This window comes from Homo sapiens, chromosome 5 (genome assembly GCF_000001405.40).
Source record: "Homo sapiens chromosome 5, GRCh38.p14 Primary Assembly".
NCBI lineage: Eukaryota > Metazoa > Chordata > Mammalia > Primates > Hominidae > Homo > Homo sapiens.
In genome coordinates this window covers 31678160-31693440 of record NC_000005.10, presented here as the reverse complement: position 1 = coordinate 31693440, position 15281 = coordinate 31678160, and the positions used below count along the sequence as shown (strand labels likewise).

Below are 15281 nucleotides of genomic sequence, written 5' to 3'. Positions count from 1 at the left end.
ATGACACCCCGTCTTTACTAAAAATACAGAAATTAGCCTGGTGTGGTGGTGCACACCTGTAGTCCCAGCTACTCAGGAGGCTGAGACCGAAGAATCGCTTAAATCCGGGAGGCGGAGGTTGCAGTGAGCCGAGATCGTACCACTGCACTTCAGCCTGGGCAACAGAGTGAGACTCCGTCTCAAAAAAAAAAAAAAAAAAAGTGCTTTCCCACTATCCTCCTGCCCCCACCCCCAGACTGTCCTCTTTTCCCTGTCCTCCCACCCCCACACCCAGACTCTTCACCACTCTTAGCTCCGAGCTTGCAGAGGCCCCAGAAACCTCACATCCAATCATGAGCAGCGCAGCAGGCCCCTGCCAGGCTGCGTCCTTCCAATCAGGGACTTCACTTTGCACACCAAGGTCCTTGCCAGATCCAAACGCTCCCTCTTCCCAGCCTGAAGTTAGAAAACAAACAAGCCGCTTAACCTAAGCCAAGCAGCAGCCATAACAACAGCAGCATTCACAGCTGAGCAGGAACGCCGGCCCTCATGGTGGTCTGGGAAAGACGCCGATTCCCCTGACCCGGACAGAGGCTGCGGGTCCTCCCGGAGGCCTGGACAGCAGCCGGCAGCCAGTTGGATGCGATCACTGGATCATGAGCTGCATCACAGCTCCTCTCAGGTGCTGGCAACGGGCCCTGGCCTGCCCTGCATGTACAAGAAGGCCTGTTGGAAATATCATCATGCTTGAGCCCTCACACTGTCCACGTCCCTCAGCTGGCCTAGGAATGGCACAATGCCTCTGTGTCCTGGCTGCCGTGAGCTGGTCCAAGGGCCTGACAATGCTGGAGACAGAAGGTCATGAGGATGTCAGAGCTAGGGAAGCAGGGGACTGTCCAGAAGGCAAGGGAAGGGTTGGAAAATGAGTCAGGCTGAGAGGTGACAGCCTGCTGGCAGCCCTCACAGCCCTCGCTCGCTCTCGGCACCTCCTCTGCCTGGGCTCCCACTTTGGCGGCACTTGAGGAGCCCTTCAGCCCGCCGCTACACTGTGGGAGCCCCTTTCTGGGCTGGCCAAGGCCGGAGCTAGCTCCCTCAGCTTTCAGGGAGGTTTGGAGGGAGAGGCGCGGGCGGGAACCGGGGCCGCGCCCGGTGCTTGCGGGCCAGCGCAAGTTCCGAGTGGGCGTAGGCTCCGCGGACCCCGCACTCGCCCGGCCGGCCCCACCGGCCCCGGGCAGTGAGAAGCTTAGCACCTGGGCCAGCAGCTGCTGTGCTCAATTTCTCGCCGGGCCTTAGCTGCCTTCCCGCGAGCAGGGCTCGGGACCTGCAGCCCGCCATGCCTGAGCCTCCCCTCCACTCCGTGGGCTCCTGTGCCACCCGAGCCTCCCCAATGAGCGCCACCCCGTGCTCCACTGCGCCCAGTCCCATCGACCACCCAAGGGCTGAGGAATGCGGGTGCAGGGCACAGGACTGGCAGGCAGCTCCACCTGCAGCCCTGGTGTGGGATCCACTGGGTGAAGCCAGCTGGGCTCCTGAGTCTGGTGGGGACGTGGAGAACCTTTATGTCTAGCTAAGGGATTCTAAATACACCAATCAGCACTCTGTATCTAGCTCAAGGTTTGTAAACACACCAATCAGCACCCTGTGTCTAGCTCAGGGTTTGTGAATGCACCAATCCACATTCCCTATCTAGTACTCTGGTGGGGCCTTGGAGAACCTTTGTGTCAACACTCTGTATCTAGCTAATCTGATGGGGACATGGAGAACCTTTGTGTCTAGCTCAGGGATTGTAAATGCTCCAATCAGTGCCCTGTCAAAACAGACCACTGGGCTCTACCAATCAGCAGGGGCCAGATAAGAGAATAAAAGCAGGTGGCGCCAGATAAGAGAATAAAAGCAGGTGGCGCCAGATAAGAGAATAAAAGCAGGTGGCGCCAGATAAGAGAATAAAAGCAGGTGGCGCCAGATAAGAGAATAAAAGCAGGTGGCGCCAGGTAAGAGAATAAAAGCAGGCTGCCCCAGCCAGCAGTGGCAACCTGTTCGGGCCCCCTTCCACTCTACGGGAGCTTTGTTCTTTCGCTCTGTGCAATAAATCTTGCTACTGCTCACTCTTTGGGTCCACACTGCCTTTATGAGCTGTAACACTCACCGCGAAGGTCTGCAGCTTCACTCCTGAAGCCAGCGAGACCACGAGCCCACCGGGAGGAACGAACAACTCCAGACGCGCCGCCTTAAGAGCTGTAACACTCACCGCGAAGGTCTGCAGCTTCACTCCTGAGCCAGCGACACCACGAACCCACCAGAAGGAAGAAACTCCGAATGCATCCGAACGTCAGAAGGAACAAACTCAGGACATGCCAACTTTAAGAACTGTAACACTCACCATGAGGGTCCGCGGCTTCATTCTTGAAGTCAGTGAGACCAAGAACCCACCAATTCTGGACACAAGGCCAGAGCCTAGGCTCCTCTGTGGTGCCACTGCTGTCCATGCCCTACACTCCTGCTAGACTCGCCCGTACTTTTTACTGCTTTGTGTTGGTATTGGCAGTGGCATCATGGTCATCATCATCATCATCATGGGTAGCATTCACTGAGTGTAGTGGGCTGGACAGTGGCCCCCCAAAAAAATATGTTTGCATCCTAATTCCCAGAACCTGTGAATGTTACATTATTTGGAAAAAGTTTTTGCAAATGTGCTTCAGAATCTTGAAAGGAGGTGCTTGTCCTGGATTATCCAGGCGGGCCCTAAATGCAATGAATGACACGGATTCTTAGGAGACAGGCAGAGGGAGGATACATGGAGATACAAAGAGGAGAAGATACAGAGAAGAGGAGGGGCAACATGGCCGCAGAGGCAGACACTAGAGTGATCTGGCCACAGCTAAGGAACAGGGATGGCCACCAGAGCTGGAAGATGCAAAGACAGTCTCAAAAGCAGCGTGTCTCTGCTAAAGCTTTTATTTTAGACTTTGGGCCTCCAGAACTGGGAAACAGATGTCTGTTGGTTGAAGTCGCCCAGTTTATGGAAATTTGTCATTGCAGCTCCAGGACACAAATGCCCAGGACACCATCCTGACCATCATCCTCGTCATCTGCCATGGCCCTTCCTAAGCACATCCTGAGCATGCACAGCACATTCCAGGCACCAGACACTTGGCAAGGCTGTCCAACAACTCCACAAGTTGTTTTCACTTAACAGAGGAGCAAACCGAAGTTTAGTGAGGAATTGGCCAGGGTGGTTTGGACCCAGAAGAAATGCAACCCTCTAAGGGTGCTATCTCCAAGTAGAAGACCAAAAAGCACTTTGACAGTGTCTCCCTTATTTGCAACCACCTTAGGGATTTGCACATAGGAGTTGATCTTGCTTTTGATCCCAAATGATCTTTTTACCAGACTTGTCTCTGAGACTTGGCTCTTTGTAAAAGTCAGGGAATGAGTAACTGTGGGGACAGGACACGCCGTTTCAAATGACCCAAGTAGCGGTTTTGATGAGTTTGCCAGCGCCAGATAGCTCACATGGGCCTATGGGAATTTCTCTTTCTCCTTCCTAAGGAAGGACTTTGAAGCCAAGACCCCACCCAGAGACCCTTCAGCATTGACTATCAGAGCAGAAAAATATCAGAGTACTTTTGCCTTCTTTTTGAACAGAAATTATGGGAAACTGGATTCACAAGGAGAACATCATAACCTTCCAGAAGTTTCCCTGGCCCAGAGGGCAGTGCACCAGAGAAGAGTCTTGAACCCTCTTTGGGAACAGAGAAGAGAATCTTAAAGGTCAGGGTTAGCTCCACCCAGGACTCTAAGGATACAATCAGCCATGACAAGCCTCAGTAGAATCCAGACCAAATGGCTGGAACTTTAGGGACTAAATCTAACACCAATATTCTTAACTTATTAGACATATCACATACATATGAAGGGCTAGTTGACTTAACACATAGTTTTGCTCGTACAGCAATACCTTGTGGGCAGGCTGGGCGTGGTGGCTCACACCTGTAATCTCAGCACTTTGGAGGCCAAGGCGGGCAGATCTCCTGAGGTCAGGAGTTTGAGACCAGCCTGGCCAATGTGGTGAAACCCCGTCTCGACTTAAAAAAAAAAAAAAAAAAAATATATATATATATATATGTATATGTATATATATGTGTATATGTATGTATGTGTATATGTATATGTATGTATATATATGTATATATGTATACACACACACACACACACACACACAAACATTAGCCAGGCATGCTGGCAAGTGCCTGTAATCCCAGCTACTCAGGAGGCTGAGGCAGGAGAACTGCCTGAACCCAGGAGGTGGAGGTTGTAGCGAGTCAAGATCACTCCACTGCCCTCCAGCCTGAGTGACAAGAGCGAAACTCTATCTAAATAAAAACCCCCCAAAAAACAAGAAAACAAAAAACCTTGTGGATACATGTGGCTTCATCTGGAAATAGGGTCTGGACAAGTCCATCCTGAATCCCACAGATGCTAGGCCATTGAGCTCCCAGCTCTTGGCCAGCCTCCATATACAGGGCAACATCCTTGATGCTGCTGCTTGGGAAATGCTAATTACCCCCAGGGGAGCCTGGAAAGGAAACAAAAACCAAAAGAGTCGTTTTGGCCTGTTGTGACCTGGCTGACCACCCCCTGCTTGGGGAAACCCAATGCTCTCAAGCAGAGCAAATATTAAGTCAACTCTGCAGTATATTCATTCACTCTTCATTGAGGAGAAAAGGAAGGGAGGGGACGCAGGAGGTAATCAGCACCTCCAAGGTGGTTCTCCTCAGCTTTCTGGAGTGAGAAGACAGCCTGGTGAGCAATCCCCTCAGCACCCCAGGACCCAGATATGTGTGTGTGCACATGTGCTCACGTGTGTGTGCAGCCTGCACCATATCCGTCACCTACCCTGAGTCACCTCGTAGGACAATGGGTTGGAAGCTCAGCACCTGACCCCGTGGGTTTTGCCACAGAGGGGGAAAGAATGATAAGGAGCAATAAGAAGCCAAGGTGCTGGTTTGCTCTTCGTGCTTACAGCTGGAGACTGTAAAGCCTGGGTCAACTAATTCAGTGGAAGCCAATCTGAAAAGAAGTGGACCAGCCCTATTTATCTCTTTAAGAACTCCTCAGAGGACTTGGTTAGTCTCACCAGGGCCTTTACTTTCATAGGTCCACAGTTTCTATCTGCAACTCCAGATCCAAAAAGCTTTGACAACTGAGTTTTTTTTTTCTTTTGTAAGACATCTGACAGCAAAACTTTGCCTGATCTCAACCACCCTGAGGCCATTTATCATCTTTATTTATCCTACTCTTGTAATAGTTCCACTTTTGGCTGCTGAGATATTAATTTATTTGCGAGGTGCTACACTAGACCCCACTGGATATGTTACGTAACACAGTATATATACTGCTTGACCTTTCTAAAGATTCAAAAAAAGCTGAGTTCTAAAACAGCTCAGGCCCTGAGGATTTCCAATAGGAAATTGTGTTCCAAGGTTAAATATTGCTATGGCCTGAACTGTGTCCCCTGGAATTCATATGCTTAAGCCCTAACCCACCATGTGACTGCACTGGAGGCAGGGACAAGAAGAAGGTGATTAAGGTTAAATGAGGTCATGAGAGTGGGACCCTGATCCAATAGAACTAGTGCCCTCATAGGAAGAGGAAGAGACATCAGCGCGCTCTCTCTGCCACGTGAGGACACAGTGAGAAGAGAAGGTGGCAAACCGAGAAGGCCCTCGCTAGAACCCGGCCGTGTTGGCACACTGATCTCAGATGTCCAGCCTCCAGAACTATGACAAAATACTTTTCTGTTATTTAAGACACTCAGTCTATGGTATTTTGTTATGGCATAACAAATCAATATAGATTTTGGTACCAAGAAGTGGGGTGCTGCTGTAACAGATACCAAAATATATGGAAGCAGTTTTGGAACTGGGTAGTAATGGGCAGAGGCTAGAAGAGTTTGGAGGTGCATGCTAGAAAAAGCCTAGATCGACGTAAACTGAATAACATCAATATGGATGTTAAAGATCATTCTGGTGAGGTCTCAGACAGAAATCAGAACTATGTTACTGGAAACTGGAGGAAAGGCCATGTTTGTCATAACATGGCAAAGTGCATCTGTAATTTTTTAGGTACTATGGGTTTATTTTTTAAAAATAGATAATAAAGTGGCAGAGAACTTGGCAGAAATGTGTTTTGTTATGGAAGCCTGAGTGGACTCATATACACTCTTGCATTTCTCTGCCAGACTTGGTCCATCAGCTCCTGGGAGCCTTTACTGATTAACCTGACTTTGGTATGAACACTCCCATACTCTGAAATTCTTTCTGGAAACTTGTTTATGTAGCTTGGATTTACTGATGAACTTTTTTTATATCTATGAGTGTATCATTTTGCCTCTTTTTATGTCCCACCCCAGATGAATAAAATTCCCTCTGGTGTCTATAACAGCCTCGTTGGGGTCCTCTTTAGGCTCACAGCACCAACTCCACAGCCCTGCACGCATGGCAGGTGAGCAGAGATTCCGAGTGGTTAGGCACTTGCCAACCTTGTTCCAGAACCCTCCAAAGAGGTATGAAAAGCCTAGGAAAGTCTAGAAACAAAGACAATTCAATAAGGTAGCAGATTATGAAATTAACATATGAAAACAGTTAATTGTAATATATGCAAAAATAAGTTTGAAAAATATAATGGAAAACCATATCCCTATTTTCAATAGAAACTAAAAATATTGTAAAAGATTTGATACATAGATACATCAAAACTTTGATATATGGATATTCGGTAAGAAATATATATATTGGCCAGGCACGGTGGCTCACGCCTGTAATCCCAGCACTTTGGGAGGCCGAGGCAGGCGGATGACTAGAGGTCAGGAGTTCGAGACTAGCCTGGCCAACATGGCGAAACCCTGTCTCTACTAAAAATACAAAAAAATTCAGCCAGGTGTGGTGGTGGGTGCCTGTAATCCCAGCTACCTGGAAGGCTGTGGCAGGAGAATCGCTTGAACCTGGAGGTGGAGGTTGCAGTGAGCCAAGATCACGCCATTGCCCTCCAGCCTGGGCAACAGAGTGAGACTCCGTCTCAGAAAGAAAAAAAAAAGAAAACTTTTTTTATATATTAAAATATGTATATAGATATTCAATAAGAAACATGCCTAACCTATTAGAAAATAACTTAAAAACTATCAATGAAGAAATATGAAATTTTTGTATTATAATGGTATTATGGCTATTTTTTTTTTTGAGACGGAGACTCGCTCTGTCGCCCAGGCTAGAGTACAGTGGCACAATCTCGGCTCACTGCAACCTCTGCCTCCCAGGTTCAAGTGATTCTCCTGCCTCAGCCTCCCGAGTAGCTGGGACTACTACCTGGGTAGTAGGGTAGGGTAGTAGGGTAGCTGGGACCATACCTGGCTGATTTTTGTATTTTTATTAGAGACAGGGTTTCACCATGTTGGCCAGGCTGATCTCGAACTCCTGACCTGTGATCCGCCCACCTTGGCCTCCCAAAGTGCTGGGATTACAGGTGTGAGCCACTGCACCTGACCTTATGGCTATTTTTTAAAAGTCTTCATCTTTCATAAATACATAGTAAAAACACTGACAGATAAATGACGATGTCTGGGATTTGTTTGAAAATAATATGGGCTGGGTGCGGTGACTCACACCTGTAATCCCACTGTGGGAAGCCAAGGCAGGTGGATTGCTTGATCCCAGGAGTTTGAGACCAGCCTTGGCAACATGGTGAAACCTCGTTTTTACAAAAAATACAAAAATTAGCCAGGCATGGTGGTGCACATCTGAAGTCCCAGCTACTCGGAAGGCTAAGGTGGGAGGAATGCTTCAGCCCAGGAGGCAGAGGTTGCAGTGAGCTGAGAAAACACCATTGCACTCCAGCCTGGGCGACAGAGTAAGACCCTGTCTCAAAAAATAATAATAATAAAATAAATGCGAAGGGTAGTGGGTATGCATGCGGACGAGGCAGCATGGGCTGATGGTGTAGAAGCTGTGTGATAGATACAAGAAGGTTCATTTTACTCTTTTCACAACTTTTGTGTATGTTCTCAGTTTTCCATATTACAAAGTTCTTTTAAAAAACCTGTTGAGGAACTGGAAGAAAATGTTAAGAGAAAAGTCTAGCTTGCTTTTAAATAAAAAGGTTCAATGATTTTTTTTTTACTTCAAATTAATCTATAAACTCAATGTAAACCCAATTAAAATACCAACAAGGAGTATTTTTAGAAAGCTCCTCTGGAAAAATAACCATAATAGCCAGCAAAATTAGGAAAGAGAAGGGGGTCAAGCGGGTAGGGCAGAGAACGCCTGCTCTTACAAGCATTGAAACTTATAAAGCTACAATAATGAAAGGAATTTAGTAATGGAGAACAAACAGAGAGGGCAATGGTGCAACATGAAATTCCAGAAATAGGCTCCAGTGCCTGCTAGGTGCCAGGCACTATTCAACATGTTGAATAATTGGCACCAAGCAAAACAGATAAAGATTCTACCCTTAAATAAGTAAATAAATAAGAACATCTACATAGTGCCAAGTGTTTTAGAGAAAATAAAGCAAGACAATGAGATAAAGGGCAACGGGGGTGACATGAGTTGAGACCTAAAAACTAGCATAACACAGATGATCTAGGACAAGGGAAAAGCATTCTAGGCAAAGGAAGAGGCAAGAGCAAGACCCTAAGGTTGAAATGAGTTCACACATCACGAAACAAAAAGCAGGTTGTGGGTAACAGAGAAGAGGCAAGGAAGATAGGCAGGGGCTAGATTATATAAACCTTGCAGTGGCTGGTGAGGACTATGAATTCTATTCTAATTGAGATGGAAAACACTTTAAAGGGTTTTAGTTTGCAGAGCGATGTATCTGTTTAACATCTAAAAAAAAAAAAAACTGCTCTAGCTACTATGTAGACAGAGGGTTCTATACCAACAAGAATATTCTGGAAATGCACTTCCAGTTTGCAATGGTCTACCCAAGAGGTGATGTTGGGATAAAAGAGGTAGAAGTGACAGGAATGGTGACAAGTGGTCTGGTTTGAAATATGGCTTTAACACAGTGCCAGTATACTGATGGCTTAGAAGTGGAGAAAAAGAAAGGAATCCAGGATGACTCCCATTGCTTTGGTCAAAGTAACTGGGTAGATGATGGCACCATCAATCAAGAAAGAGAAGATGAGCAGGGGCCATGGGACAGTAAATCAAGGACTCTACTGTCATATCCATCCATCACTTGAGACACCTATCAGACACCCAAGTAGGACTGTCAGTAGGCAGGTGGCTGCTACAGGAGGATGGAGCTCACCTGTAAATTTGTACGGGGGCATCAGCAAAAGATACAATGAAGACAGCATTTCAGATCTACAGGGAAAATAGATCTGTAGGGATCCTTTGATAACTGGTGTTGAGGCAATTGCCTTTGCTTTTGGGGAAAAACACTCAAGTTCCCAAATAACTTCCAAATGGATCAAAAATTAAAAAAAAAATACTGGTGAGTCTATGTGGCAAATGGCTCTCCCACACTCTTGGTGGGAGTGTAAATTTGTGCAACCTTTCTTAGGGACAATATGGCACTGGGTATCAAATTTAAAATACATATTGACTTTGTTCCAGTAATCCTACTACTTGGATTAATTTATTCAACAGATATACATACGAGAATTTCCTGGGATGTAGGTACAAGGATGTCCGCTGCAGACTCTTTGCAGTAAAAAATTAGAAACAAGCAAAGCCTGCCTCAACAGCAGACTGGTTAAATAAATTATCAAACGTCCATAAGACAGACTACTTTGCAGAGGATACAAAAAATGCAGGAAACCTTTATGAGCTGATATCAAACTATCTCCCAGGCACGTTATGTGAAAAATTAGCAAACAGAACTTCTTGTGCTTTATTATCCTTCTATGTAAATGTATGAGTGTCCATGTACAAAGTCTTTTGATTTTCATCTTTTATCATTCCCAAAGTAGTTTGAATTTTGTAACCATGTACATATTTTCCATTTAAAAAAACCAGTAGGGACTATTTGAACGGTGAAATTATGGGTCACCTTTTTGTTTTCTTTATACTTCTTGGAATGTATTTTTTTAAAGCACCCTTACAAATATTACTAGAAAATAAAACTTCAAAGAATATGATCCCACATCCCCACTAAGACTGTGGACAAATCACTTTAAATCTACAGGACAATCTTATGACCTTCTTTTCTAATTCGTTTTCTTTTCTTTCTTTCTTTTTTTTTTTTTTTTTTAACATTCTGATCTCACTGAGATTTTGTACCTTCAGGCTCTGTTGGAAGCAGCCTGTACCCAAAGCCAAGCTGTAAAAGTTGCAGGGGAGCCACAGAGCTGCCAAGGAGGGTGTTTAATGAGCAAAACTTAAGGGCCGAATGCAAATTACTAGCAAACACCAGATGGCAGGGGTCAGGGGGAGATGGCCTCAAAGAGATAAAGTCAGAGTACTGGTCAGGTCCAGAGAAAAATGACTCCCATCTGACTTGGGGGCGGTGAGAGTGTCACGGGGTTCACACAGCTGGTGTGCACACTCCCCATGATCGGGAGAAGGGGTCTTTCTGCGTAAGCTTATGGCTGGAAAGTCAGGGGAAAGGGAGGGGTGGAGGATACAAAAGGTACAAGGTAGCTTGTGGTGGAAATGGAGCGTCTTGGTCTACGTAAAAATTCACCTGCAGGGCTTTTGAGGGTTAGCTGTCCTGAAATCCCAAAATGTGTAAACCATGTACACACACACACACACACACACACACACACACACACACACACACACACAGCCGAAAGACTGAGAATGCGCTAGTTCTATTTAATCTTGGAGGAGAAAATTAACAGAGTTCAATTAAACCATTATTAAGAACTTTAAATGGGGATTAGTGCTTATTTTCACATTTCTTTAACCTTTAAAATTACACTCTTATTTAAATACAAAGTTAATAGTATTGGATTGTGCTGGCCTTATTTGTTGTAATGAAGCCTTGTTCTTAATTGGAAAGCAAGAATGTACCATTCCACTTCTCCCAATTAACCACCTTTATTGGAAGCCAGGCTTCCGGAAACACAAAGCTATCAACTAAGGCACCGACATTCTCCCGGGGGACAGTTTGCCCTAACCACGGACTTGAAAGAAAGAAAACTGTTCATATTGGCCTTGCACACCCAAACTTAAAACAGACCACAGACACGAGAGTGTCCAATTCAAACACTGACCCCTGCCTAAGCCCCTCTGCGAAGCTTGTGTAGTAGCTCTCCCCCTCCCCGTGGGTCCTCCAGGAAACACACAGCAGCTGCTTCAGACCATCATTGCTACCCTCGCTCTCGCCTCTAGTTTAACCAGCCCCAGTTCCTTTAAACTCGCCACTTGGGTCTAATTTTCCAATCATATAATTATATCTATCTATGCGTCTTAGGGAGAAGAAAGAATGCGATGTTCCAAAAAAAATTACAGCCCTCTTTTGGTCCTATACTATGCATTTTCCGCTTCTGGTAAGGAATCTAAGCTATGCCACTACAATATATTTAGTTGGAGTAAACTCCTCTCCAGCATTCCTTCTTTTAAACGTATTATTCCTTTCTTAGGAGAAACTAGCTCAAGGGAGCTGGGGGTATTTAAATGGAGTCTCTATGGTCACCAAAAGCATCACATGCCCTGAGAGCAAACACAGTTGCTAAAATCAGCTTGTCAGTATCTTCAAACTCTCATTTAACTTGTCTTAAGGTAAACTTTTTATTATAAGAACTAACTTTTGAGAAGTTTTATAGTTTCGAAAACTCTTCCACATAGCATTTTGTGATCCAATATGGTAGGAGAGGTGTTGACAGGAAGATAGACATAGACACATACGCACATATTATATATATTATATTATACATATATAATGTGTATATGTATATGAGGAACCTATACATATGTATAGGCTCACGCCTGTAATCCTAGCACTTTGAGAGGCCGAGGTTGGTGGATTACTTGAGGTCAGGAGTTCAAGACCAGCCAGACCAACATGGCGAAACCTCGTCTCTACTAAAAATACAAAGAATTAGCTGGGTATGGTGACACATGCCTGTAATCCCAGCTGCTCGGGAAGCTGAGGCATGAGAATTGCTTGAACCTGGGAGGCGGGGGTTGCAGTGAGCCGAGATTGTGCCACTGGACTCCAGCCAGGACAACAAGGTGAGACTCTGTCTCAACAAAACAAAGTAAAAACAAAAACAAATAAAACATGTTATAAGTATTGATGAATCAACAGTCATAAGCCTTTAATGTTCATTACATGTTGAAAGAAAAAAACAGTAATTTTCCATCCAAGTTGCAGCCCCATATTCAGAAGCATTTAGTGATATCTGGCAATGGTCTCCATTCATGGAAAAAGCAAAATTATTTGCATATATGGTGGGAATTATTTTACAGGTGTTGACTTGAGGACAAGAAAGTTGGGTGGGGGTAGGTGGGGGGATCTTGGGAAGGAATTCAGATCTGGCCAGTCCCCAGAATGGGTGTCCACAGTCAGCAATTGTCCGAGGGGCAAGGCCGTATAGGGAAGCACAAGCTAGATCTGCGGCCGTTGCTGTGGGGCAGGCATCTCTCAGAGCTGCAGGGAAAAAGCTGCTGGGCTGGGCAGAGGTTCCGTGCACCCACAACAGGAAGCATCTACAAATCCAGCAGGGCCTGGCGCCCGGTCAGGGATTTCAAGGACAAGCCGGCATCATTTCCAGAGGGCAGTGGAATAATTAAGCTCGCACGTCCTGACGAGAAGGCTGGCAGGTCTGGCTGCAGAGCCACAACAAGCCTGTTTCTGGCTGCCTGAAATGTGTTCACCACCAGGGTCTGGCCACAGAAACGGGAGCCACATGCAGGTCGATTCCAGCCCCTCAAGGCAGCAGAGGAAGACTTAGCTTCCTGAGGCTGGCATAAATGAGGAGTATTTTTTTTTTAAATTGGCTTCCCAAGTGCGAAGTTCCTCCTCAAATCTTAGGAGGCTGAATCCCACAGCCAGCCATCCTCACCTCTCATTAGCAGTTGGTCTCGGAAATTTTATTTGAGCCCAGAACCCTTCTAATTTCCTCTCTGATCAGATAGATGGATGGAAGTCTTTCTTTTGCAATGTCTACCAAGCAAAAGTTTGCCATTTCCCCACCGGCTCCATCCTTCCATCTGACAAGAGCCTTTCTGTGAAGGGAAGCTTAGAGTCACCATCAGACTTGTCCCCTAGGACCCAGGCAGATCCTTGTGACAATCAGCCGAGGGCCTTGTCCTCCCCGAGCCCACCGTCCATTCAGTTTTCTGGTGACACCTACTCCATCCATGAATGAATTAAAGAGCAAATGAATGAGTGAGGACTTGACAAGACTTCTCAATCATTTCATGAATGCGAGGCATTATAAATATAAAATAATTCCATATCAGATATCCAAGAAAAATGCTCTAGAAGATGCATTTAAACCTTTTGGAGCTAAACATTTTGAGGACTGTGGTGTTCGAAGATTTGACAAAATTCTACAAACTGTGTGCTTTTATGTAAGTTTAGGCATTCCACAGACACTTGGAAGGTGAGTTTAATAACCCTAGGTTTACATAGTCTCAATACTACAGGATCTAAGAAACTTAACCTCCAGGGGGAACCTTCAAAAATCTGATATTCAGGCCAGGCATGGTGGCTCATGCCTGTAATCCCAGCACTTTTGGGAGGCTGAGGCTGGAAGATCACTTGAGGTCAGGAGTTTGGGACCAGCCTGGCCAGCATGGCAAAACCCTGTCTCTACTAAAAAAAGACAAAACTTAGCCGGGCGTGGTGGTGCACATCTGTAATCCCAGCTACTAGGGAGGCTGAGGCAGGAGAATCACTTGAACTTGGGAGGTTGAGGTTGCAGTAAGCCAAGATGGCACCACTGCACTCCAGCCTGGGCAACAGCAAGACCCTGTCTCGAAAATAAATAAAAATAAAACAAAAATAAAAAATGCAACTCAACACAACACACCACAACACAGTACAACAAGAAGCATCTTTTCAGATCACAATGCCCCACAAGATACCTGCAGGGAAACTCAGTGTCCTCCTCAGAGACCACGCCTTTCAACCCACTTTTTAAAATCCTCAGCTTTGGAGAGGGAACCTTTTGAAAACATAAGCTACTGGAAATATTTTTATGCAGAAGCTGCTTCGCAAAAGCGAAAGAATATTTTGCTTTCCATAAGGAAGCCTGGAATCTGTGCCAATCCAGCATGGATCTTTCAGTCAAGGGCAGGGAAAAGAACAGGCACCTGTCAATTCATCTTACTATGAAGATAACACCCTGAGAAGTGTCTCCCACAAAACAGAGAGCCTTTCTCCTTGGTCAGTTCAGTGGAGGGGGGCTCTGTAGTCAGAGGCCACTATCCTGCCCATACCGCCCTTCCCCAAATAGTCCGGCAGGGAAAATTTTTTTGACATCACGAAGTGTCTAAAAGAAAAAAAGTAGTTGAGTGGGGAGAATTACCTAATGAGGTGGGACCCTAGCTATTTTTCCCTTTGACATAATTAAAAAGGGGGGAAAAAAAAGAAATATAGGCTGGGCATGGTGGCTGTTGTCTGTAATCCCAGCACTTCGGGAGGCCAAGGTGGGCAGATTGCTTGAGGCTAGGAGTTCAAGACCAGCCTGGCCAACATAGTGAAATCCTGTCTCTACAAAAAATACAAAAATTAGCCAGGTGTGGTGGCGAGCACCTATAGTCCCAGACACTCGAGAGGCTGAGGTGGGAAGATGGCTTGGGCCCAGGAGGCAGTGAGCCGAGATTGTGCCACTGTACTCCAACCTGGGCGACAGAGAGAAACCCTGTCTCATAAATAAATAAATTAATTAAGAAATTCCACTGAAAACACCCAGGCTGTAGGGGGTGCTGTGATGAATCACCCTAGAGACTGACGTCCCCAGGCTCCAGACGTCCCCCACCAGAACTGACTGTCCCCAGGCTCCAGCTGTCCCTGAGAACTGACTGTCCCCAGGCTCCAGACGTCCCCCACCAGAACTGACTGTCCCCAGGCTCCAGAAGTAGCACCACAAGGCTCTCAGGTGCCAGCTCTCTCAGGGAATTCCCCTCAGCGGCTGCTGCTTCCAACGTAGGGACATAGAGCCTTGGATCTCAGATCACAACTCTCAAGGGCTGTGCTAGCCCAGAGCTCTGGGGTGAGTGGGAGTAGGCTGAGTCCTTGGCGGATGCACTGCAGCTGGTCTCATCACATGGGTACTGGCCAGGAGCTTCCTCCAGGGTATTCTCACTAGAAGCTGGCTTCCCCAGGAATCCAACCTGCAACAC

At 46.1% G+C, this 15281-nt stretch overlaps 1 protein-coding gene across 2 annotated transcripts in view, besides 2 other annotated features; it reads right to left on the bottom strand.

Annotated features, from left to right (window-relative positions):
- PDZD2 (PDZ domain containing 2) overlaps positions 1 to 15281 on the bottom strand; it is a 471802-nt gene that overhangs the window by 417492 nt on the left and 39029 nt on the right. The gene's annotated exons all lie outside the window — the stretch shown is intronic.
- Positions 12179 to 12696: an enhancer, noted in NCBI's record as "H3K4me1 hESC enhancer chr5:31680852-31681369 (GRCh37/hg19 assembly coordinates)". NCBI's record gives its function as "activates a minimal SCP1, AML or CMV promoter by ChIP-STARR-seq in primed H9 embryonic stem cells {active_cell/tissue: H9 hESC(primed)}" and the evidence as "EXISTENCE:reporter gene assay evidence [ECO:0000049][PMID:30033119]".
- Positions 12697 to 13215: an enhancer, noted in NCBI's record as "H3K4me1 hESC enhancer chr5:31680333-31680851 (GRCh37/hg19 assembly coordinates)". NCBI's record gives its function as "activates a minimal SCP1, AML or CMV promoter by ChIP-STARR-seq in primed H9 embryonic stem cells {active_cell/tissue: H9 hESC(primed)}" and the evidence as "EXISTENCE:reporter gene assay evidence [ECO:0000049][PMID:30033119]".